Consider the following 25,872-nt stretch of genomic DNA (forward strand, 5'->3'; position numbering starts at 1 on the left):
CATTAGGGGGAAGTTCTCTGAGCAAGTGATATTTAAGCTGATGATTGAAGGATAAGAAGATAACAGCAGATGAAGAATTGGAGACCACGGTATGGAAAAGAATTTGGTGTTTGCCAGAAATTTAAGGAACGCTAGTACGACTGGAGCTTAGAGTGAAAAGTGGAAAATAGTGTAAAATACAGTTAGATGTAAGGTAGAGCATGTGCCTTATAGACATCCAGGGTCTTGTAGACTTTTCAAATAAATTGTTTGGATTTTACTCCCAGTATGAGAAAACTGAAGGTTTTAAACTTTACTGGTCCACATTTTAAAAGATCACCGTGGCTGCAGGCTGTGTAGGAGAATGAATTGACAAGGAGTCAAAATAAGGACCAGTAAGGAGACTATGCAGAAGATAAAGAAAAAAATGATGTCTTGAATTTGATGGTGCAGCAAAGGGGAGGAAAATTAAGCCCTTTTTCCTTCTGATTCCACATACTTGAAAGGGACAAGCATATCTACTGTCAGTTTAACTACCACTTCTATGCTTATGACTCCTGAATCTCTGTAGCTACAGTTACGTTCCTAAAACCCACACTCTCTAAACTCCCTTCTTCCTCATATCCAGTTGCTTAACGGACGCTTCCTCTTAGATAGCACAAATTGAAATGGAACTCTTTGTCTTCCCCTCAAAACTTGGTGCCTTTGTGACTTCTCATCACTCTCCCCATCACTTGAAATCAAAATTTTGGCATCACATTTGGTGCCTCCCTTTCTGTCCAACTCCCATGTCCACGATGGCGAAGTACTAAAAGTATATGCTCTAGAGTCAGAATGCTTAGGCCAATGAATTGGAACGGTATTACGGGACATTTATCTGGTATGTGGTTGCCATTGCTATGGTCTCAATGGCACATTGTATTTTAGTAATTATTTTTAATTTCAACCACTGCATGCCCTGGAGAGGCAGTAAATCTACCTAATTGCACCAATAGTTTCTGTCCAAATCAAGTCAACATAGCAGCACTGAGTTGAAGAATGGATATGGTCTGATCCTCCTCAGTTGTTTTAAGAAGAGAAATATTACTTCCTTACTTAACTATAATTTTCTCAATGAATAGTATGCAGACAGCCACAGTCCTTATACTGCAAAGTACAATCATGATAAACAGTGAGCTATGGTGGCTCTGGAGGAAGACAGGCCTAGTTTTTCAAGAAAATCTAAAAATTAACCCAGTTAGAGGGAGAGCTGACATTTTAGAAAGTACTGACAGAGACTTTGCAGTTATGAGAGAATGAGAAAGAGTACGATCTGCAAGAAAGAGCAGTTTGAATGAGAGGAGCAAATGGCGAAAAGTGATACCTACACACGGTGGGGAGGAGGAAGAAATAGAACTCAAAGGATTCAGAGAAGCAGAGCTCAGAGATGCTAATGATCTTCCCTTTGCCCCTCCAAATCCACTCTCCACCTGCTCTCTGGTGGGGAAAGGTATGCGTATATGCACCTCTATAGACATTTACAAGCTCTCTTGTCCTATTGCTTCCAGTTGGGTATAGTAAAAAGGAATACGCCACCAAAAGTTAAGAGAAAGGAGAAAGGAAAATTGGGGTATTTATTCCTTTGGCTCCCCACTGCAGGGTTTTTATGGCCTAGACTGTGACCCTCAACTAAAAGCCACAGCTCCTGTTACCAACAGGCCATTGTTATCACACCCAGATTACTGCATTATCCCTTGAATTTTCCCTACATTCAGCCCCTACACCCTTATAAATTATTGCTTTATTAAACTCTGAAATTACTCAATTTGTATGTGCCATCTATTTCTTGCCAGGATCCTTACTAAGAAGAGGTAAAGGATTAGAATTAGAAAACATGAGAGTAATTATGAAAAAAGGAAGATTAGTGAGTTACACGCTTAAAAGGCCAGCTGTTCCTTTGCTGAGTGAGAAATGAAAAGGTTTCCAGTGGATGCTCTTACTCCCATCCTGTTCTGTTTTGTTTTTTTTTTTCCAGGGGCCAGTTAAACAATGTTTACACCTATTTGAGCTGAGTCCAAAATAAGTAAGTGCCTAATGGCAAGGTTCGTTTAACCTCAATCATTTCAGGAAAGCATTCTACTAATGTCTAAAATAATTGGGGGATGGGGCATAGAGTAAAAGAGTGGCAAAGAACCCACCAAGGAAGCCAACCTTCTTTCATTATTTTGAAAGACAGGAGATTTTCAAGCTCAGCAAGCTTCCCATTCAGCAGTGAACCTAATTAATGTAAACAGAATTTTAGAATGAACCAAACCCTACTCCTAGGCAGCAGGAGCTAACATTTCTCTTCAATTATTATGTAAGGTCACATCTCACAGTTGTGTTCTGGACACCCCCTCCCTTTATTCAATTTGTCTTCCCATCTGCTGCCACTTCCCAGAGAGCCCAAGAACAGAGAGACCCCAGACCATTGCATGCTCTGGAATGGCCCAAACTCTCCTGCCCTACTTGTATTATGCACAAACAGATGCTATGCCACAAGACCTACTCAAAACACGGAGCTCAGGGACAGTGGAGGTAGCAGCTGAACAGAAGGGCACACAGGGAGAGACTTAAAAGCATTTTTGAATGCTAATTCTATAGCCAGAGTTGTTATTCCTTTGCTGCTTATAAACTTAGGATACAGCTTCCTGCACACTCTACCATCTGGAAATGCAGAATTGCTACTATTTTCTAACAAAGATAGATTATATCACTGCCAATAACATTACATCTGTCTTAAGGAAAATTGGGGGTTTTAAGGGTTGTGAGTGAAGGGTAGGGGAAATCAGATTGTCTGTGCAAATGAAGTATGCCTTAATTATGTAAATGCTGCTAAGGAAAGTGTATGGAAAACTATCATACAACCCAAACACAGATATCATAGTGCACGTTATTCTAAAATTTTAAATTTTAGGTTAGAGTGAGAATTTTTTTTAAAAAAGCATTTTTTAAAGTATAACATATTTAAGGAATGTATTTGAAGACTGAGAAATTTATATTTGATTATTCATATATTATAGCACATATACAATATTATCATACCTCTTTCAGAATTAGATTTTGTAATAACACTGGTGAACTCAATATAAAATTAAACTAAATTTTATAATTGTATATAGAATTTTTCACCTCTCAACTACTTTTTCTTTGTTTATGTTCATTTATAAAACTCTATTATGTGCTTAGCTACAAGTTTCTAAAAATAGAGTCTATATTCATCACCAAACAAAAATGGAAATACATAATTAAAAGTTGACCAGGATAAAACTTTAACTACTTGGAAATTAAGAATCATGATTCTAAATAACCTTCAGAACAAAGAATAAATCAAGACAAAGTTTCTAGAAAGCATGGAAAAAAACAAACCCTTCAAACCATTTATTTATTTAGACAATGAACATTTACTGAACATCTGCAATGTCAAAGAAGGCACTTTTCCAGAACTTGGGCTGTGAAAACAAGAGCTATGAGAAGGACAGGATCCTTCTCCCAACGTGAAGCAATCAGAGGCTTCATAGAAATATATGCTAAGGACTGTGGGAGTCCAAAAGAAAAAAATTATTAATTCCAATTGATCAGAATACAAAAGAATAATAAAGTGGCAATTGAGTAAATAAGTTATTTGGGAATGTGCTGGCTTTGGTTAGGGAGAGAAATTGAGGAGAGTGTATTAGTCCATTTTCACACTGCTACGAAGATACTACCCGAGACTGGGTAATTTATAAACAAAACAGATTCAATTGACTCACAGTTCTGCATGGCTGGGGAGGCCTCAGGAGACTTAGAATCATGGTGGAAGGTGAAATGGGAAGCAGGCACTTTGTCCGGTGGTAGGAGAGAGAGCGAGCATGCAGGGGAAACAGCCACTTTTAAAACCATGAGATCTCGTGAAAACTCTCACTACCACGAGAACAGCATGGGGGAAAGTGCCTTCATAATCCAATCACCTCCCATTAGGTCCCTCCCTCCACTCATGAGGACTACAATTTGAGTGGAGACTTGGGTGGAGACACAGAGGCAAACTATATCAGGGAGAGTACATTCTGGGAGGCAGGAAGGCTCAAAGACACAGAGGCAGGAACATGGAATGGGTGACACCAGTTCAGCTTTACCTGTCAGAAGCTAAGCCTGCAACAGCAAGATGAATATAAGTTGCACATGGCCTTGGGTGTGCAAGCTTTAATGTGCAAAGCACCTGGAGACCTTGTTAAAAAGAAGATTTCTGATTGAGTAGGTCTGGGGTAAGACATAAGAGTCTCCAGTTCTAGCTAGCTTCCAGGTGATGCCAATAACGATGAGTAGGCTGATACTTCCAGCAGTTAGGTGGTAAATGATGCAAGAGTGGGAATCGTGAAGTTTTGATGTCCTTGGAGAAAGATGATATAACATAGCCATTAACATAGTGTCATAGCCATTAAACTGGATTGAAATTGTAATTCCTGTATTTGTTAGCTGTGTATCCTTAGGCAACTTACCTGTGGAGCATTTGTTTTCTCATTTATAACGTGAAAAAATAATTACTCCCCAAAGTCTTGTTAGGATTACATGAGAGAATGATTGTAAAGTGCTTAGGATCGTGTACAACACGTAGTAAATACCCAATATGTTGTGGAATTATTTCCTACAACCTGTAACATGAGAGCACTCTTTTTCTCCACTGCTGCCCGACTTAAGCTGTAACTCACTGACTTTTTTGAAATTGTGCTATGTTCTGGTGCTTCTACATTGCACATCCACTGCCTCTTGCCTCCAAGAATGAACACATAGTAGAAAGACCAAAACAACAGGTAGGTACATAGTTACAAAATTTAAAATGGTTAAAACTTTTAAGGATGAGCAGAAGAATACAGTGGAAGACCATAAAATATTGAAGGGCGTTATGGTACAGTTTTAGATCATGTCAATAATTAATGAATTAATGAAATGTCAAATAATTATTGTTCTACTTAAAACAAAGGTGTTACGGGAAAAAGTGATTACTTTCAGCAGTTCATACAGAGGAAATATGTTCATCTGAGAGGTAGATTTAAAGGAATAGACAAATAAGTTGTCAAGTTTGTGATCTAAAATATAGATGAGAAATGTCATTTACAGGACAATGATTTTGCTGAAAGGGAGAGAAATTACCAAAGAAACCAATATTCCAGAATCTCAGTTTAAGGGAAATTTTTTATTTCTTGTCAAAATGCATTGGCTTTAGTGAAAAAATAGACAATTTCAGAAACTTCCAGTTATTTTTGGAAATACTTATCCCTTCCAGTGAGTGGTTTTCTGTGTTTCCTTTATTAAATTACTCTTAGACAATACCAACTAAATACATATATTTTACATATATCTTCATTTGTTACTACACTCAAAGGTAAAAAATTTATCATGGTAGGGCCAGGCACGGTGGCTCATTCCTATAATCCCAGCACTCTGGGAGGCCAAGGTGGACGTATCACGAGGTCAGGAGATCAAGACCATCCTGGCTAACATGGTGAAACCCTGTCTCTACTAAAAAATACAAAAAATTAGCCGAGCGTGGTGGCGGGCACCTGTAGTCCCAGCTACTTGGGAGGCTGAGGCAGGAGAATGGCGTGAACCTGGGAGGCAGAGCTTGCAGTGAGCCGAGATTGCACCACTGCACTCCAGCCTGGGCAACAGAGCGAAACTCCATCTCAAAAAAAGAAAATTATCATGGTAGAATTTACCAGAGGTTGACAAGTATGGGTCATAATTCTGTTGACGGGCTAGATAAACCATACCACCAAATTGTTTTACAGTAAAAAATAGAACCAAAGAGAGATTGAGAGATTGATATCTTGTGTGATTGTGTGAATTCAAGAAAAATGTTTGTGTCTGACATTGTTTTAGACTAGTTGGAAACTTTAGAATAAAGTGAAAGTAAAGCTCTTGCAAAACAGAAAAGAAGAAGAAGCATGTCAATGTTGGAAGGGATTCAGTTCAAAAGATATTACTGAACATCTTCCAGGGCCAGGTCCCTCATGAACTCATAATAACTTGGAGAATGCTAATGGGAAGTCTGGAGGATTGGGATGGTAGAGAATCAGTTTATGAAAAAAAAACAATGTAATTGGTATTTCAAGATGGCCAAATAGGAAAAACTCCAGTCTACAGCTCCTAGCATGGGCAACACAGAAGACAGATGATTTCTGCATTTCCAACTGAGCTTTGAAAAGAGCAGTGGTTTTCCCAGCATGGAGTTTGAGACCTGAGAACGGACAGACTGCCTCCTCAAGTGGGTCCCTGACCTCTGAGTAGCCTAACTGAGAGACACCTCCCAGGAGGGGCCGACTGACACCTCTGAGACGAAGCTTCCAGAGGAAGGATCAGGCAGCAACATTTGCTGTTCTGCAGTATTTGCTGTTCTGAAGTCTCCGCTGGTGACACCCAAGCAAACAGGGTCTGGAGTAGACCTCCAGCAAACTCAAACAGACCTGCAGCTGAGGGTCCTGACTGTTAGAAGGAAAACTAACAAACAGAAAGGAATAACATCAACACCAATAAAAAGGACATACACACCAAAACCCCATTTACAGGTCACCATCATCAAAGACCAAAGGTAGATAAAATCACAAAGATAGGGAGAAACCAGAGCAGAAAAGCTGAAAATTCTAAAAATCAGAGCGCCTCTTCTCCTCCAAGGATCGCAGCTCCTCGCCAGCAATGGAACAAAGCTGGACAGAGAATGACTTTGACGAGCTGACAGAAAGAGGCTTCAGAAGATCAGTCATAACAAACCTCTCCAAGCTAAAGGAGGATGTTCGAACCCAGTGCAAAGAAGCTAAAAACCTTGCAAAAAGATTAGATGAATGGCTAACTAGAATAAACAGCAGAGAGAAGACCTTAAATGACCTGATGGAGCTGAAAACCATGGCATGAGAACTACATGACGCATGCACAAGCTTCAGTAGCTGATTCAATCAAGTGGAAGAAAGGGTATCAGTGATTGAAGATCAAATGCATGAAATGAAGCAAGAAGAGAAGTTGAGAGAAAAAAGAGTAAAAAGAAATGAACAAAACCTCCAAGAAATACGGGACTATGTGGTATCTCATTGTGGTTTTGATTTGCATTTCTCTGATGGCCAGTGATGGTGAGCATTTTTTTCATGTGTTTTTTGGCTGCATAAATGTCTTCTTTTGAGAAGTGTCTGTTCATGTCCTTCGCCCACTTTTTGATGGGTTTGTTTGTTTTTTTCTTGTAAATTTGTTGGAGTTCATTGTAGATTCTGGATATTAGCCCTTTGTCAGATGAGTAGGTTGCGAAAATTTTCTCCCATTTTGTAGGTTGCCTGTTCACTCTGATGGTAGTTTCTTTTGCTGTGCAGAAGCTCTTTAGTTTAATTAGATCCCATTTGTCAATTTTGGCTTTTGTTGCCGTTGCTTTTGGTGTTTTAGACATGAAGTACTTGCCCATGCCTATGTCCTGAATGGTAATGCCTAGGTTTTCTTCTAGGGTTTTTATGGTTTTAGTTCTAACGTTTAAGTCTTTAATCCATCTTGAATTGATTTTTGTATAAGGTGTAAGGAAGGGATCCAGTTTCAGCTTTCTACATATGGCTAGCCAGTTTTCCCAGCACCATTTATTAAATAGGGAATCCTTTCCCCATTGCTTGTTTTTCTCAGGTTTGTCAAAGATCAGATACTTGTAGATATGTGGCGTTAAATGGCAATCATTAAAAAGTCAGGAAACAACAGGTGCTGGAGAGGATGTGGAGAAATAGGAGCACTTTTACACTGTTGGTGGGACTGTAAACTAGTTCAACCATTGTGGAAGTCAGTGTGGCGATTCCTCAGGGATCTAGAACTAGAAATACCATTTGACCCAGCCATCCCATTACTGGGTATATACCCAAAGGACTATAAATCATGCTGCTATAAAGACACATGCACACGTATGTTTATTGCGGCATTATTCACAATAGCAAAGACTTGGAACCAACCCAAATGTCCAACAATGACAGACTGGATTAAGAAAATGTGGCACATATACACCATGGAATACTATGCAGCCATAAAAAATGATGAGTTCATGTCCTTTGTAGGGACATGGATGAAATTGGAAATCATCATTCTCAGTAAACTGTCGCAAGAACAAAAAACCAAATACCGCATATTCTCACTCATAGGTGGGAATTGAACAATGAGAACACATGGACACAGGAAGGGGAACATCACACTCTGGGGACTGTTGTGGGGTGGGGGGAGGGGGGAGGGATAGCATTGGGAGATATACCTAATGCTAGATGACGAGTTAGTGGGTGCAGCGCACCAGCATGGCACATGTATACATATGTAACTAACCTGCACATTGTGCACATGTACCCTAAAACGTAAAGTATAATAATAATAAAGAAAAAAAAAAGAAATATGGGACTATGTGAAAAGACCAAATCTGTGTTTGATTGGTGTACCTGAAAGTGACAAGGAGAATGGAACCAAGTTGGAAAACACTCTTCAGGATATTATACAGGAGAACCTCCCCAACCTAGCAAGGCAGGCCAACATTCAAATTCAGGAAATACAGAGAACGCCACAAAGATACTCCTCGAGAAGAGGATCCCCAAGACACATAATTGTCAGATTCACCAAGGTTGAAATGAAGGAAAAAATGTTAAGGGCAGCCAGAGAGAAAGGCTGGGTTACCCACAAAGGGAAGCCCATCAGACTAATAGCAGATCGCTCAGCAGAAACTCTACAAGCTAGTAGAGAGTGGAAACCCATATTCAACATTCTTAAAGAAAAGAATTTTCAACCCAGAATTTCATATCCAGCCAAACTAAGCTTCATAAGTGAAGGAGAAATAAAATCCTTTACAGACAAGCAAATGCTGAGAGATTTTGTCACCACCAGGCCTGCCTTACAAGAGCTCCTGAAGGAAGCACTAAACATGGTAAGGAATAACCAGTACCAGCCACTGCAAAAACATGCCAAATTGTAAAGACCATCGATGCTAGGAAGAAACTGCATCAACTAACAAGCAAAATAACCAGCTAACATAATAATGACAGAATCAAATTCACACATAATATTAACCTTAAATGTAAATGGGCTAAATGCCCCAACTAAAAGACACAGACTGGCAAATTGGATAAAGAGTCAAGACCCATCAGTGTGCTGTATTCAGGAGACCCATCTCACATGCAGAGATACACATAGGCTCAAAATAAAGGGATGGAGGAAGATCTACCAAGCAAGTGGAAAACAAACAAAAGCAGGGGTTGCAATGCTAGTCTCTGATAAAACAGACTTTAGGCTGGGCGCAGTGGCTTAAACCTGTAATCCCAGCACTTTGGGAGGCTGAGGCAGGCGGATCACGAGGTCAGGTGATCAAGACCATCCTGGCTAACACAGTGAAACCCTGTCTCTACTAAAAATACAAAAAATTAGCCAGGCATGGTGGCAGGTGCCTGTAGTCCCAGCTACTCAGGAGGCTGAGGCAGGAGAATGGCATGAACCCGGGAGATGGAGTTTGCAGTGAGCCGAGATCATGCCACTGCACTCTAGCCTGGGCGACAGAGCGAGATTCCGTCTCCAGAAAAAAAAAAAAAAACTGACCTTAAACCAACAAAGACCAAAGAGACAAAGAAGGGCATTACATTATGGTAAAGGGATCAACACAACAAGACGAGCTAACTATCCTTAATATATATGCAACCAATACAGGAACACCCAGATTCATAAAGCAAGTCCTTAGAGACCTACAAAGAGACTTAGACTCCCATATAATAATAATGGGAGATTTTAACACCCCACTGTCAACATTAGACAGATCAACGAGACAGAAAGTTAACAAGGATATCCAGGACTTGAACTCAGCTCTCCACCAAGCAGACCTAATAGACATCTACAGAACTCTCCACCCCAAATCAACAGAATATACATTCTTCTCAGCACCACATCACACTTATTCCAAAATTGACCACATAGTTGGAAGTAAAGCACACCTCAGCAAATGTAAAAGAACGGAAATTATAACAAACTGTCCTCAGACCACAGTGCAATCAAATTAGAACTCAGGATTAAGAAACTCACTCAAAATGGCACAACTACATGGAAACTGAACAACCTGCTCCTGAATGACTACTGGGTACATAACGAAATTAAGGCAGAAATAAAGATGTTCTTTGAAACCAAAGAGAACAAAGACACAACATACCAGAATCTCTGGGACACATTTAAAGCACTGTGTAGAGGGAAATTTACAGCACTCAATGCCCACAAGAGAAAGCAGGAAAGACCTAAAATCAACAACCTAACATCACAAGTAAAAGAACTAAAGGAGCAAGAGCAAACACATTCAAAAGTTAGCAGAAGGCAAGAAATAACTAAGATCAGAGCAGAACTGAAGGAGACAGAGACACAAAAAACCCTTCAAAAAAATCAGTGAATCCAGGAGCTGGCTTTTTGATAAGATCAACAAAATTGATAGACCACTAACAAGACTAATAAAGAAGAAAAGAGATAAGAATCAAATAGACACAATAAAAAAATGATAAAGGGGATATCACCACCAATCCCATGGAAATATAAACTACCATCAGAGAATACTATAAACACCTCTACACAAATACACTAGAAAATCTAGAATAAATGGATAAATTCCTCAACACATACACCCTCCCAAGACTAAACCAGGAAGAAGTTGAATCCCTGAATAGACCAATAACAGGCTCTGAAATTGAGGCAATATTTAATAGCCTACCAACCAAAAAAAGTCCAGGACCAGACGGATTCACAGCCGAATTCTCCCAGAGGTACAAAAAGGAGCTGGTACCACTCCTTCTGAAACTATTCCAATCAATAGAAAAAGAGGGAATCCTCCCTAACTCATTTTATGAGGACAGCCTCATCCTGATACCAAAGCCTGGCAGAGACACAACAAAAAAAGAGAATTTTAGACCAATATCCCTGATGAACATCAATGCAAAAATCCTCCACAAAATACTGGCAAACTGAATCCAGCAGTGCATCAAAAAGCTAATCCACCATGATCAAGTAGGCTTCATCCCTGGGATGCAAGGCTGGTTCAACACATGCAAATCAATAATTGTAATCCATCATATAAACAGAACCAAAGACAAAAACCACATGATTATCTCAACAGCTGTAGAAAAGGCCTTCGACAAAATTCAGCAGCCCTTCATGCTAAAAACTCCTAATAAACTAGGTATTGATGGGATGTATCTCAAAATAATAAGAGCTATTTATGATAAATCCACAGCCAATATGATACTGAATGGGCAAAAGCTGGAAGCATTCCCTTTGAAAACTGGCACATGACAGGGATGCCCTCTCTCACCACTCCTATTCAACATAGTGTTGGAAGTTCTGGCCAGGGCAATCAGGCAGGAGAAAGAAATAAAGGGTATTCAATTAGGAAAAGAGGAAGTCAAATTGTCCCTGTTTGCAGATGACATGATTGTATATTTAGAAAACCCCATCGTCTCAGCCCCAAATCTCCTTAACCTAATAAGCAAATACAGCAAAGTCTCAGGATACAAAATCAATGTGCAAAAACCACAAGCATTCCTATACACCAATAACAGACAAACAGAGAGCCAAATCATGAGTGAACTCCCACCATTCACAATTGCTTCAAAGAGAATAAAATACCTCGGAATCCAACTTACAAGGGATGTGACGGAACTCTTCAAGGAGAACTACAAACCACTGCTCAACAAAATAAAAGAGGACACAAACAAATGGAAGAACATTCCATGCTCATAGATAGGAAGAATCAATATCGTGAAAATGGCCATACTGCCCAAGGTAACTTATAGATTCAATGCCATCCCCATCAAGCTACCAATGACTTTCTTCACGGAATTGGAAAAAACTACTTTAAAGTTCATATGGAACCAAAAAAGAGCCTGCATTGCCAAGACAATCCTAAGCAAAAAGAACAAAGCTGGAGGCATCATGCTACCTGACTTCAAACTATACAACAAGGCTACAGTAACCAAAACAGCATGGTACTGGTACCAAAACAGAAATATAGATCAATGGAACAGAACAGAACCCTCAGGAATAATACCACACATCTACAACCATCTGATCTTTGACAAACCTCACAAAAACAAGAAATGGGGAAACGATTCCCTATTTAATAAACGGTGCTGGGAAAACCAGCTAGCCATAAGTAGAAAGCTGAAACTGGGTCCATTCCATTCACCTTATATAAAAATTAATTCAAGATGGATTAAAGACTTAAATGTTAGACCTAAAACCATAAAAACCCTAGAAGAAAACCTAGGCAATACCATTCAGGACATAGGCATGGGCAAGGACTTCATGTCTAAAACACCAAAAGCAATGGCAACAAAGGCCAAAATTGACAAATGGGATCTAATTAAACTAAAGAGCTTCTGCACAGCAAAAGAAACTACTATCAGAGTGAACAGGCAACCTACAGAATGGGAGAAAATTTTTACAATCTACCCATCTGACAAAGGGCTAATATCCAGAATCTACACTGAACTCAAACAAATTTACAAAAAAAAATCAAACAACCCCATCAAAAAGTGGGCAAAGGATATGAACAGACACTTCTCAAAAGAAGACATTTACGCAGCCAACAGACACATAAAAAATGCTCATCATCACTGGCCATCAGAGAAATGCAAATCAAAACCACAATGAGATACCATCTCACACCAGTTAGAATGGTGGTCATTATAAAATCAGGAAACAAAGGTGGTGGAGAGGATGTGGAGAAATAGGAACACTTTTACACTGTTGGTGGGACTGTAAGCTAGTTCAACCATTGTGGAAGACAGTGTGGCGATTCCTTAGGGATCTAGAACTAGAAATACCATTTGACCCAGCCATCCCATTACTGGGTATATACCCAAAGGATTGTAAACCATGCTGCTATAAAGACACATGCAAATGTATGTTTATTGCGGCACTATTCACAATAGCAAAGACTTGGAACCAACCCAAATGTCCAACAATGATAGACTGGATTAAGAAAATGTGGCACATATACACCGTGGAATACTATGCAGCTATAAAAAAGGATGAGTTCATGTCCTTTGTAGGGACATGGATGAAGCTGGAAACCATCATTCTGAGCAAACTATCACAAGGACAGAAAACCAAACACCACATGTTCTCACTCACAGGAGGGAACTGAACAATGAGAACACTTGGACACAAGATGGGGAACATCACACACCAGGGCCTGTCATGGGGTGGGGGGTGGGGGAGGGATAGCATTAGGAGATATACCTAATGTAATGGGTGCAGCACACCAACATGGCACATGTATACATATGTAACAAACCTGCACGTTGTGCACATGTACCCTAGAACTTAAAGTATAAAAAAAAAAATGCTTTGCTGTTCTATGTTGGTACGTAAAGAGCATGGACCAAGAATACTTAGTATTCAGTTCCAGGTTTTCACACAAGAACTCTTTATAACAAGAAAGCATTTTTTGACAAACTTTCAGATTCCACTTTCAACAGGCTAGAGACTGCAGAGAAAAGTAGCCAGAAAATGAGACTCTGATTTCCAATTCTCCTACTATCATCAGCTAATGTTCAAACTTTGTATTAGTGCCTACCACCAGAGATGCTGTTGATCTTGCCAAATAATATTCCCAACATTAACTAGCCCCAATCTTCTTTGCTTCCCTCCCTTCCCCTCCTCGAGTATGTTCCCTGAACACAAATTTTGTTTCTGGTGATATAGGAGTCTGCCATGGTAATCTTCCCCAACATCTAATTCTACTGTTACCATAGAAATTATGCCATTAACCTTTACAACTATGCCGACTACTACTGTCACTACTACTACTAAAGTGGAAGAAAAGTAGAAGGGAAAAAAGAGCAGGAAGAGAAGGGGGAAGAGGATAAAAATTTTTCAGCATTTATCATGTTCCTGATCACACAATTTGGAAGTACCAGGGCAAGATTTAAACAGGAAGGCTAATGACAAATCCCACATACTTATCCCCAACTCTTATCCCCCATACTTATCCCCTCCCTAGAAGCAACTGATAATCTCTGAGAAAGCCCAAATCAAACAGTTTGACAATGCCCAAATCAAAATGTGAAGGAGCCAGACCTCAATCCCTGGCCCTCTAACTCCAGAACCCCCACCTACTTAGCCACTACCAATCCTAGCTTCTTGCATCTTGTCTCCAAGTAATTGAATGTTTAAGCAGTCAATAAAATAATGTGACCAGCTCTCTCACTTTGTTAACAAAATCAGAAACAAAGAATTCAGTCATTAATAGTAATCGCATAAGTAGGATGCTTACCAACTCCTCTGAAGTTCTTTTCCTCCAAAAGTTTGGTTTAGAGAGTTCATTAATCCTCCCATCCCAAGAACTGGGTCAGCCAAGCTGTACTTCATCCTGGAAGAATTAGATCAGTGGATCCCTGTCAACATTAGTAAGTCAATAGCTATCGAAGCTTAAACAGACAAATGTCTGAATTTTCTTTTATCCTCAAAAAATTGTAGACTATACAGCACAATTGCTGAAAATTCTCAATTGAAATGTAGCAAGTAGGAAAATGAAATGCAGAGCCTCTGATTTGATAACCCTCCCTCCAGATTTATCAAGATTGCTTGTAACAGCATGGATTTTAGAGGATAAGTTACCTCACTCTCAAAGCCTAAAAGCCTCTTTTGTCAGAAATCTTGACAATTTAACTTTGGTGGAAGTACAGGTGGGCAGGCACAGGCATGTTGGCTAATGCCAGAATTCTGAATATCCTGGTATCTAAAACAAGAATTCATTATTTCTGATCTTGATCCAGCTTTGTGGTAAGACATACCTAGAATTTCTTATCATGTGCATTCTCCAAGGTTTTAAGTCCATAGTTGCTTGATACCTACATGATTAATGAACCCTTTGGAAGCTCAGAAATCACAGTAGGTAAGGCCGGAAATAGAAAGATTCCACAGAATCACCATTCCTACCCTATTAGAACTAGGAAGATTACTTCCCTATGATCTCTACACCTCTCACCCTATTACTTTAAAATTATAACTTAATACTCTTAAATGGCAAGAAGTTAGGGAATGTCAAAGCAAATAGATTCTCAAATCCCTTCAGAAGACAAGTGTATGGATGTAAATGTGGGAAAAGGTAGGAATAAAAATTTAGGAAGTAGTGCTGCTTGTGGTGAGCTAGAGAGTACATTATTGGCCTAAAAAGCCATTCAAGTTTAAAGTTTTAGAAAAGCTGTGCCAGCCAAATACATACAAGACCACTAGTTTGTAATAGCTGATCATATTTCTAGAATCTAACTCTTGGCCAGGCATGGTGGCTCACACCTGTAATCACAGCACTTTGGGAGGCCGAGGCAGGTGGGTCACTTGAGGTCAGGAGTTCGACACCAGCCTGGCCAACATGGTGAAACCCCATCTCTACTAAAACTACAAAAATCAGCTGGGCGTAGTGGCACACGCCTGTAGTCCCAGCTATTCAGGAGGCTGAGGGACAAGAATTGCTTGAACCTGGAAGACAGAGGTTGCAGTGAGCTGAGATTGCACCACTGCACTCCAGCCTGGGTGACAGAGCAAGATTCCATCAAAGAAAAAAAGAAAAAAAAAGAATCCAGCTCTGTTAATCATTTATTAATTTAAATTTTCTTCATTATCAGTTAACAGTTTAGATATAGATCTTATAGTTGGAAATTATCATTTCCCCTTCCTTGTGTTGTGTAACCCTGCATATAATTGTTCAAACAGTTGGATCAAGCAGTGGAGATGCTGAAAGAAAGGGTAGAACCTCATTCCCTCACTGCCTTCTGGAGAAATTATCTGTAAACTGTACAGACTAAAATGTACTCTGACTGTCCCATAAAACCACAGGTCTTGAACATGGTGGCTGGATTTAACAAGGACTGCTGGGAAGCCAAGAGTAATTATATTCAGTACTTGGAGCAAGCTACACATAAATGCTTCATGTTTCAGTCCAATCATAAAAAATTTATTTCTGTAAAAATGTGGACTACTACAGGTTTTGGTAGGAGGCCCTGCACAATAAATGTAAATTAGATCCAGTACTGCAGGCCTTTGAACAAAGTAGAGGTAAGATATGTTTCCACAGGTAATAATATGGTGTCCCTTGGTTTTATAACCCTAAGATATTTACCCTATAGTTTTTAGTCCCAGAATCAGTAGTGAAATTTAGGTACCTAGCTAATTTATTGTGTACTGGAGCTCATGAGAGTTAAAAGTTTAATAATATTGCCTTTGGCTATGACTATCACTAGGCTATTATTCAAAATCAGTATGACATCTTTATCAATAAAAAAATTGTTCTTGAAATAAAGTGCATCTTTGGCAAGACTTTAAGAAAATCTGGCTACAGTATTAGGATACTACTGGCATACATTTTTCTGTAGGTTTATTGGTAATTTATATATATTTTTAAAATGTCTATTCATATATTTGCAAGAGCCTGTTTTTAATCAATTAATTTTAGAGCTGTAATAGAAATGCTGCTCATGGCTTTAGAAAAAAAAAATTCAAGCCATACAGAAAGTAATAAAAAATAAAGTCTCCTTTCCTTCCCCTAACCACTTCTCCACTTTGGAGATCTCTTTCCAGAAATTTCCCATGCAGATACAAGCTTAGACATGTGCATAATAAATTTTAAACAAATTTATATATATGAGCCCTAAAATTTGTTCTTTATCATTTATCACTGTGTTTTGAGAAATTTTTTTCCAAATGGGCACCCCATAATTTACTTTAACAGCATTTTGTGAATGAAAATTTAGCCTTTTTTTTGTTTTTTGTTTTTGCTATTACAATCTATAGCACATATGATTTACTTTAGTACCGAGTCTCCATAAGGTGAAATCTCACAGACTTAAGTGTATCAATATTCTATTACCTGTGCATAATCAAATTATTCTAACAGTTATGCTACAGCTCTCATAACTCCTGATGGCGGGTATGCCCAAGTTATATTATAACAAAGGAAATATAAACATGACCATGAAAACAATATCGCAGTAGATGACTGTACTTGTTAAATGTATTCTGCGAACATATTCCTCCATGCAATTGGAATAGGGTTTAGCATACCTTGATTATTTTAAGGTGCAAGAAGAGTACTGTATACGGATTTTGCCAGTATGACAAGCATACTTAAACCCCAATGACGAAAACTTCTGGCTATTTTTAGACAAAAGAATTCAGAATCCTTTGTTAGCAGGGTCAAAGACAATTGCTTCAGCAATTAAAAGTTACTTGACATTTGACAGCCTTTTAAACAAAAGAACACTAATCTTCATTGGAATCATGATTTGATATATAATGGACAATGTTATTGTCTCTACAATCACGTGAAAATTGATTTTTAAATGTTTTCTGCATCAAAAATACTGCTGACCAAAAATTTCACCAAGATATAATAATATTTCAAATATTTTTATTTCTGTTTAAGCCAGTCAATATTCTAAGCATCAATAAAATAGCTCTTGCTCTTCAGCAGTTTTTATGTGACTAGATTATAATTTACTATTTTCATCGGGTAATTAATTTTATATAACTCTCCAGCTAGATGCGAGATTTCATGAACTGAAAAGAATTTATTGACATTTTTAATCCGACCCAATTATTTCAAATGAAAATGTCATAGTGAAAATATGCAGAAAGTTCAAAGGAAATTTTCAACAAACCTATTAGGATTGAATTTTTACTAGCGTAATTACTAATGTAAGTAAAGTTATCAGAAAAAAATTGAAAAACATTTCAAACTATCTGCAAATCTGAGGCAACTCTTTATTTTTTAAATATTAAGAAATAAATGCAAGCTTTTCTGAAGTATGTTTTTCATTATTTTTTAACATTTCCTGTCACTGTGTGTGTGTGTGCACACGTGCACATGAGCATACATATGGTAGAGTGTTTTCTCTTCAAATTAAAAGTTATAAAAAATTATTTCAGGAACAAAATGAACAAATTCAAATGAGGCACTACAACTCAACAATACTCAAATGGCTAAAATAAAATAGGAACTGCAGAGAAAAGAATAATTTTGCTAATATCTAATCATGATAAAAGTGATTCTAAGCTTGCCTGACTTCATTTATAAGTTTAGTTATATCAACATTTTTCTAATATAGCACTGTTGGAATGACAATAAATCCTCAACTATTTTAAGAGGAAGTCAGTAGATAATGTCTAAAATTGCTAGACCAAAAAATAACAATGTAAGTGTATCTTTTTAGAAATATGAAGGTTAATGTCAGATAAAACCCCTCTAAGACTTGAAATGCTTCCTTCTGAAGTGGAGAACTAGACTGGGTCAGATACCCTTTTAGCTTAACTTAATTTTTAAACTATGTGCATGTATCACTTGGATAAAGAAAAAGTAATTTCAAAATAATAAAACAAAGTATTGTGCAATTGATATTATTAAGATAACACTTTTGACTATACATATACTGCATATATTTCCATTACCAAACTTTAAGATATATTTACATAAGCATATTAATACTACATATAAATATGTAATTTTATGCTACAAAAACACTTTATATAGTTATGATTTTTATTTCAAAATTAGTCATTTAAAAAGTTAATCTTACTGCTTCATAGTTACACTTCTCTGAGCCTCAGTTTCCTTGTCTTTGTGAGTAATGTCTCCGTAATAGAATCATGGGAAAAATTAGAGGTATTTATAAGTACCGCACGCTAACCGATTGAGCCACTGGAGCCACACAATTAGAGGTATTTATAAGAGAAGCTTTTCTAATTAAAATTTAAAATGCTACGCAAGTATAGATGTTTATTCGCCTTTATAACTATGGTACCCCAAAATATGAGGATCATACAGAGCCAGCAAATTTAAGGACTTTAAAAATGAGAACTAAAAGAAAAAAACACACAAATTAAGGGTTAGAATTCTTGTTTTGTCTGAAAAACAAAGATAATAAAATAACAGTTTAAGGTGCATACACAGATGAAGAATCCGTATGCATAATGTGTTATGAATTTTTTTTTGCATAATGTATCAAAGTTTTAAGTGTCAACTGTATGCCTCCCCTTTCCTCCAACTTCCCTGTATTTAATCCTTCTGCATTAATTCAGAGACACACTACCATGAGAATGGTTTAGGATTCAAAACTTTCAGGAATCAGGTTTTTACCTCCAAAAATCAAATAGGCTTGAAAGGCAAGGTTTTTAGTTGTAATAGGTGGGCTCATAGAGTAAAGAAGAGTGGTTTATGAGCTTCAAAAGACTAATAGCCTGGCAGTCTCAGCATATAAAGTTCACACCATAAACTACACAGTGTGAAATAAGGAATGCGGATATAGAAACAGTTTTTCCCCCAACACACGAAAAGATTTTTTTTAAACAACACTGAACTAGAAAGAAAGGAATCTGCAAAGAGAGAGAGAAGTAGAGAATCTGGACTCGGATATGAAGCCCCAGGAATGTGGGTGAGAGGAAAATAGAAACCTCTAACAAGCTTGGGGAATTATAAAGCAAAAGAACCAGTATCTTAATTCCCAGAGTATAGCCAGAGGAGACTGCAAAACTTTTAGAGAAGTCACACAAGCAGCCTAGGATAGAGTGGAACACCAAGCGAGAGGGTCAAATGATCTGAGGACACCTCACAGGCCAGATCTGGTGTGAGAGAGTAATTCATACACCTAGAAATGGGTGGCACAAGAGGCCTGGGGAGAATCAGTGAGCCTGACTGAATCACATGGTTTTGATGAGGAGATACTGTCAGGGAATGTGATGAAGGCCATACAAACTAGAGATTATGGCAGACGCTGGACAGCAGATGTAGGGGGATGGAGAAAACTATCTGTGCAGGAAAAAGAGCAGGTGACTGCAAAGCACCTAAAGACCAATGTCAGCATGACATATGAGAGCACCCCCTATCTCACCCATTCTGCCGGGGCTGAACTTTATTTCCTCCTGGGACAAGGAAAAAAAAGGCGGGGAAAGAAGAACCTTAATTGATAAAGTATTTACTTTTAAAAAAAGATGAGACAAAATTCACTAATACCTACATCGACCTCTAAGTAACTAGATTACATTCTCCAACAATGGCAGAAATGGAGTCACAAGACCTAAGTGCAATTATAAAGAAAGAAACTGTCATATTTGCACAGCCAACTTTATAACTTTGAAATTTGTACCCACTACAATAGCATGATGATCTGACTCTTCATCTCCACTGAAACAGAAAAAGAAGAGAAAAACTTACGCTGATTTTCCAATTATTTGATATTTTCAGTTATCTATACTCCTCTTTTTCCCCAACTTTTATGTTAAGTTCAAGGCTAAATGTGCAGGATGTGAAAGTTTGTTACATAGGTTAATGTGTCCCATGGTTGTTGGCTACACAGAGTATCCCGTCACCTAGGTATTAAGCCCAGCATCCATTAGCTATTCTTCCTGATGCTCTCCCTCCTCACACCCTCCCACCCTCCTACAGGCCCCAGTGTGTGCTGTTTCCCCCAAGGGTCCATGTGTTCTCATCATTTAGCTCTTAAGTGAGAACATCCAGTATTTGGTTTTCAGTTTCTGCATTATTTTGCTGAGGATAACGGCTTCCAGCTCTATTTATGTTCCTATAAAGGACGTGATCTCACTCCTTTTTATGGCTGAATAGTATTCCATAGTGTATATGTATCATATTTTCTTTATCCAGTCTATCATTGATGGACATTTAAGTCAGTTCCATGTCTTTGTTATTGTGAATAGTGCTGGAATGAACATATGTGTGCATATATCTTTATACTGGAATAATTTATATTCTTTTGGGTATATACCCAATAATGGGATTGCTGGGTCAAGTGGTATTTCTGCCTCTGGGCCTTTCAGGAATCACCACACTGTCTTCCACAAGGGTTGAACTAATTTACACTCCCACCAACAGTGTAAAAGCATTCCTTTTTCTCCACAACATTGCCAGCATCTGTTGTTTGTTGACTTTTTAATAATAGCCATTCTGACTGGTGTGAGATGGTATCTCATTGTGGTTTTGATTTGCATTTCTCTAATGATCAGTGATGTTGAGCATTTTTTCATATGTTTCTTGGCTACATATATGTCTTCTTTTGATAAATGTCTGTTCATGTCCTTTGCCTACTTTTTAATGGGGTTGGTTTTTTTTTCTTGCAAACTTGTTTAAGTTCCTTGTAGATGTTGGATATTAGACCTTTGTCAGATAGATAGATTGCAAAACTTTCCTCCAATTCTGTAGGTTGTCTGTTCACTCTGATGATTGTTTCTTTTGCTTTACAGAAGCTCTTTAGTTTAATTAGATCCCACTTGTCAATTTTTGCTTTTGTTCCAGCTGCTTTTTGTATCTTTGTCATTAAATCTTTGTCCATGCCTATGTCCTGAATGGTATTGCCCAGATTTTCTTCTAGAGTTTTTATGGTTTTTGGTTTTGCATTTTTTACATTAAGTCTTTAATCCATCTTGAGTTGATTTTTGTATATGATGTAAGGAAGATGTCCAGTCTCAATTTTGTGCATATGGCTAGCCAGTTGTCCCAGCACCATTTATTAAATAGGGAATCCTTTCCCCATTGCTCGTTTTTGTCAGGTTTGTTGAAGATCAGAAGGTTATAGGTGTGAAGTCTTATTTCTGAGTTCTATATTCTGTTCCATTGGTCTGTGTGTCTGTTCTTCTACCAGTACCATGCTGTTTTGGTTGCTATAGCCTTGTACTATAGTTTGAAGTCAGGTAGCATGATGCCTCCAGATTTGTCCTTTTTGCTTAGGATTGTCTTGGCTATTTGGGGCTCTTTTTTGGTTCCATTGAATTTTAAAATAGTTTTTTTCTAATTCTGTGAAGAATGCCAATGGTAGTTTAATGGGAATAGCATTGAATCTATAAATTACTTTGAGCAGTGTGGCCATTTTCATGATATTGATTCTTCCTATCCATGAGCACGGAGTGTTTTTCCATTTGTATCTTCTCTGATTTCTTTGAACAGTGTCTTGCTGTTCTCCTTGAGGAGGTCCTTCACTTCCCTGTTAGCTGTATTCTTAGGTATTTTATTCTTTTTACACCAATTGTGAATGAGAGCTTATTTATTATTTGATTCTGCTGCTTGCCTCTTGGTGTATAGAGGAATGCTAGTGATTTTTTCACATGGATTTTATATCTTGAGACTTTGCTGAAGTTGCTTATCAGCTTAAGAAGCTTTTGGCTGAGACTAAGGGGTTTTCTAGATATAGGATCATGTCATCTGCAAATAAAGATAATTTGACTTCCTCTCTTCCTATTTGAATACAATTTATTTCTTTCTCTTGCCCAATTTCCCTGACCAGAACTTCCAACAGTATGTTAAATAGGAGTGGTGAGAGAGGGCATCCTTGTCTGTGCCCGTTTTCAAGGGGAATGCTTCCAGCTATTACCCATTCAGTATGTTATTGGCTGTGGGTTTGTCATATATGGCTCTTGTTATTTTGAGGTATGTTCCTTTAAAACCTCGTTTATTGAGAGTTTTTCACATGAAGGGATGTTGAATTTTATTGAAGGTCTTTTCTGCATGAATTGAGATAATCACATGGTTTTGTCTTTGGTTCTGTTTATGTGATGAATCATACTTATTTGCATATGTTAAGCCAACCTTGCATCCCAGGATGAAGCGAACTTGTTTGTGGTGGATACACATTTTTGATGTGCTGCTGAATTTGGTTTGCCAGTATTTTACTGAGGATTTTTGCATCAGTGTTCATCAAGGATATTGGCATGAAGTTTTCTTGCTTTCTTATATCTCTTCCAGGTTTTGGTATCAGAATGATGCCGGCCTCACAGAATGAGTTAGGGAGGAGTCCCTCCTTTTTAATTTTTTGGAATAGTTTCAGTAGAAATGGTACCAGCTCTTCTTAGTACCTCTGATAGAATTCAGCTGTGACTCCATCTGGTCCTGGGCTTTTTTTGGTTGGTAGGCTATTTATTACTGCCTCAATTTTAGAACTCATTATTGGTCTATTCAGGGATTCCATTTCTTCCTGGTTCAGTCTTGGGAGGGTGTATGTGTCCAGGTATTTATCCATTTCTTCTCAATTTTCTAGTTTATGTACATAGAGGTGTTTATGGTATTCTCTGATGGTTGTTTGTATTTCTCTGGGGTCAGTGGTGATATCCCTCTTATCATTTCTGATTGTGTTTATTTGATTATTCTCTCTTTTCTTCTCTATTAGTCTAGCTAGCAGTCTACCTATTTTATTTATTTATTTATTTATTTTTCCAGAAAACCAGCTCCTGGATTTGTTGATTTTTTTAGAAGGATTTTTTATGTCCCTATCTCCTTCAGTTCAGCTCCAATCTTGGTTATTTCTTGTCTTCTGCTAGCTTTGGGGTTTATTCTTGGTTCTCTAATTCTTTTAGTTGAGATGTTAGATTGTTAACTTGAGATCTTTCTAGCTTTTTGATATGGGCATTTAGTGCTATAAATTTCCCTCTTAACACTGCTTTAGATGCATCCAAGAGATTCTGGCACATTATCCCTTTGTTCTCATTAGTTTCAAAGAATTTCTTGATACCTTCCTTAATTTCATTGTTTTTTCAAGAGTCATTGGGGAGCAGGTTATTCAATTTCCATGTAGTTGTGTGGTTTTTAGAGAAGTTCTTAGTCTTGAGTTTTAATTTGATTGTGCTGAGGTCTGAAAGACTGTTTGTTACCATTTTAGTTCTTCTGTACTTGCTGAGGAGTGTTTTACTCCTAATTATGTGATCAATTTTACAGTAAGTGCCATGTGGCCATGAGAAGAATGTATATTCTGTTGAATTTGGGTGGAGAGTTCTGTAGATGTCTATCAGGTCCACTTGATCCAGAGCTGAGTTCAAGTCCTGAATATCCTTGTTAATTTTATGTCTTGATGATCTGTCTAATATTGTCAGTGGAGTGTTAAAGTCTCCCACTATTATGGTGTGGGAGTCTAAGTCTCATTGTATGTCTCTAAGCACTTCTTTTATAAATCAGGGTGTTCCTGTATTGAGTGCATATATATTTAGTGTAGATAGCTCTTCTTGTTGAATTGAACCCTTTGCCATTATGTAATGCCCCTCTTTTTCTTATCTTTGTTGATTTAAAGTCTGTTTTGTCAGTATAACCCCTGCTTTTCTCTATTTTTCCATTTGCTTGGTAAATTTCCTCCATCCCTTTATTTTGAGCCTATGTGTGTCTATGCATGTGAGATGGGTCTCTTGAAGACAGCATACTGATGGGTCTTGGTTCTTTATCCAGCTTGGCATTCTGTGTCTTTTAATTGGCTCATTTACATTTAAGGGTAGTATCGTTATGTGTAGATTTGATCCTGTCATCATGATGCTAGCTGATTATTTTGCAAACTTGTTTATGTGATTGCTCCATAGTGTCACTGGTCCTTGTACTTCAGTATGTTTTTGTAGTGGATGGTAACCATTTTTACTTTCCATATTTAGTGCTTCCCTCAGGAGCTCTTGCAAGGCAGATCCTGTGGTAATATGCTCCTCTATTCTCATATAAAAACTTGTGAATTGACCATATTAGAAATTTCTTTGCTACTTTATTCCATGAAGAATGTTCACACAGAGTCATAATACATCCCAGATGGTTTTAGGTAGTATTTTTCTAAGGGCATGGAATACACATGACTGGAAATTGGAAAAACAATTTTAGGTCATACCTAAGTGTACACTTTTTATCTTAATGTGTATTGAAAAACTATTGCTTGAACAACAAAATGTTATTGCACAAACATTCTTGCTTAAGACAAGGCTAAAGTAAGTATTGAATTTCAATGATTTAACTCAACCTAAAGAAGAGTAGTAAGTAAATATTAAAGTATATGAATATAGCAAAAATAGAGAAAGTTTTATACAGAAGACTGAAGTTTGTAAAGCATTGTACTAAGGTGATGGATTAATTATACTTTTACTTTTATAATTTTAATTATAAAAGTAAAATTATAATTTTACTTTTATTTATTTTATTTATTTATTGAGATGGAGTCTACTTTGTTGCCCAAGCTGGACTGCAGTAGTGTGATCTTGGCTCACTGCAACCTCTGCCTCCCAGGTTCAAGCAATTCTCATATCTCAGCCTCCCAAGTAGCTGGGGCTACAGGCACACACCAACACACACAGCTAATTTTTGTATTTTTAGTAGAGTTGGGATTTCACCATGTTGGTGAGGCTGGTCTCAAACTTCTGACCTCAAGTGATCACCCACCTCAGCCTCCAAAAGTGCTGGGATTATAGGCGTGAGCCACTGCACCCGGTTGATTACACAATTTTAAAAAGGAATGTGGCTATAACATCTTGTGCTGCTCAATATTTCCAGTCTTCAGTTTATTCATCTATAAATCAAGGAGACTGAATTAGATAAATCCTTAAGCTCCTTATCCTGGAATTCTATTATTTGAATAACAGTCTTTATAGCATTTTTATAGGTATCAATCTTATTTCAGCATTATCACATTCAACAAGTATCGAATGAGCATCTTCTATATGCCAAACAATGTTATGAGTCCTTAGGATACATCAGTGAACGAAACACATGAAGATGCTTGCCTTTATGGAGCTTACATTTTGACTCACATCCTGTGAGGTACGTTATTATTTCCATTTTACATGGGAAGAATTTTAAGGTCGGGTATGTAGGCAATTGCCCTAGATAAGTTAGTAGGAAGCAGAGTTAGGATTCAGACTTAGGGCTTCTGATTCACAGATTGTGCTCTTTCCATATTACATACATTGTGAAGGATATGATTCAACAGGGAAACAACTTGGAGAAAAATAGAACCTGCTGCTAACCTAGATGCCTATTAGATAATATTATCATATGCTCTTACTTGGGGTCTTTGATGATGCTGATCATTTTTTAAAATAAATGAAAACCCCAATGGCTCTAAATAAGGAATAGGTCTT

The 25,872-nt window shown here is 37.8% G+C and overlaps 1 long non-coding RNA gene across 1 annotated transcript in view; it reads right to left on the reverse strand.

The window, feature by feature from the left end:
• Positions 1 to 3,371: 3,371 nt before the first annotated feature.
• The window catches only part of TTC14-DT (TTC14 divergent transcript), a 121,249-nt gene continuing 98,748 nt past the window's right edge, over positions 3,372 to 25,872 (reverse strand). The window contains exon 3 of the long non-coding RNA NR_183700.1: positions 3,372 to 4,366. This is a non-coding gene — a long non-coding RNA (TTC14 divergent transcript). The remainder of the gene's footprint in view (positions 4,367 to 25,872) is intronic.

Source organism: Homo sapiens, chromosome 3, assembly GCF_000001405.40.
Source record: "Homo sapiens chromosome 3, GRCh38.p14 Primary Assembly".
Classification (NCBI taxonomy): Eukaryota; Metazoa; Chordata; class Mammalia; order Primates; family Hominidae; genus Homo; species Homo sapiens.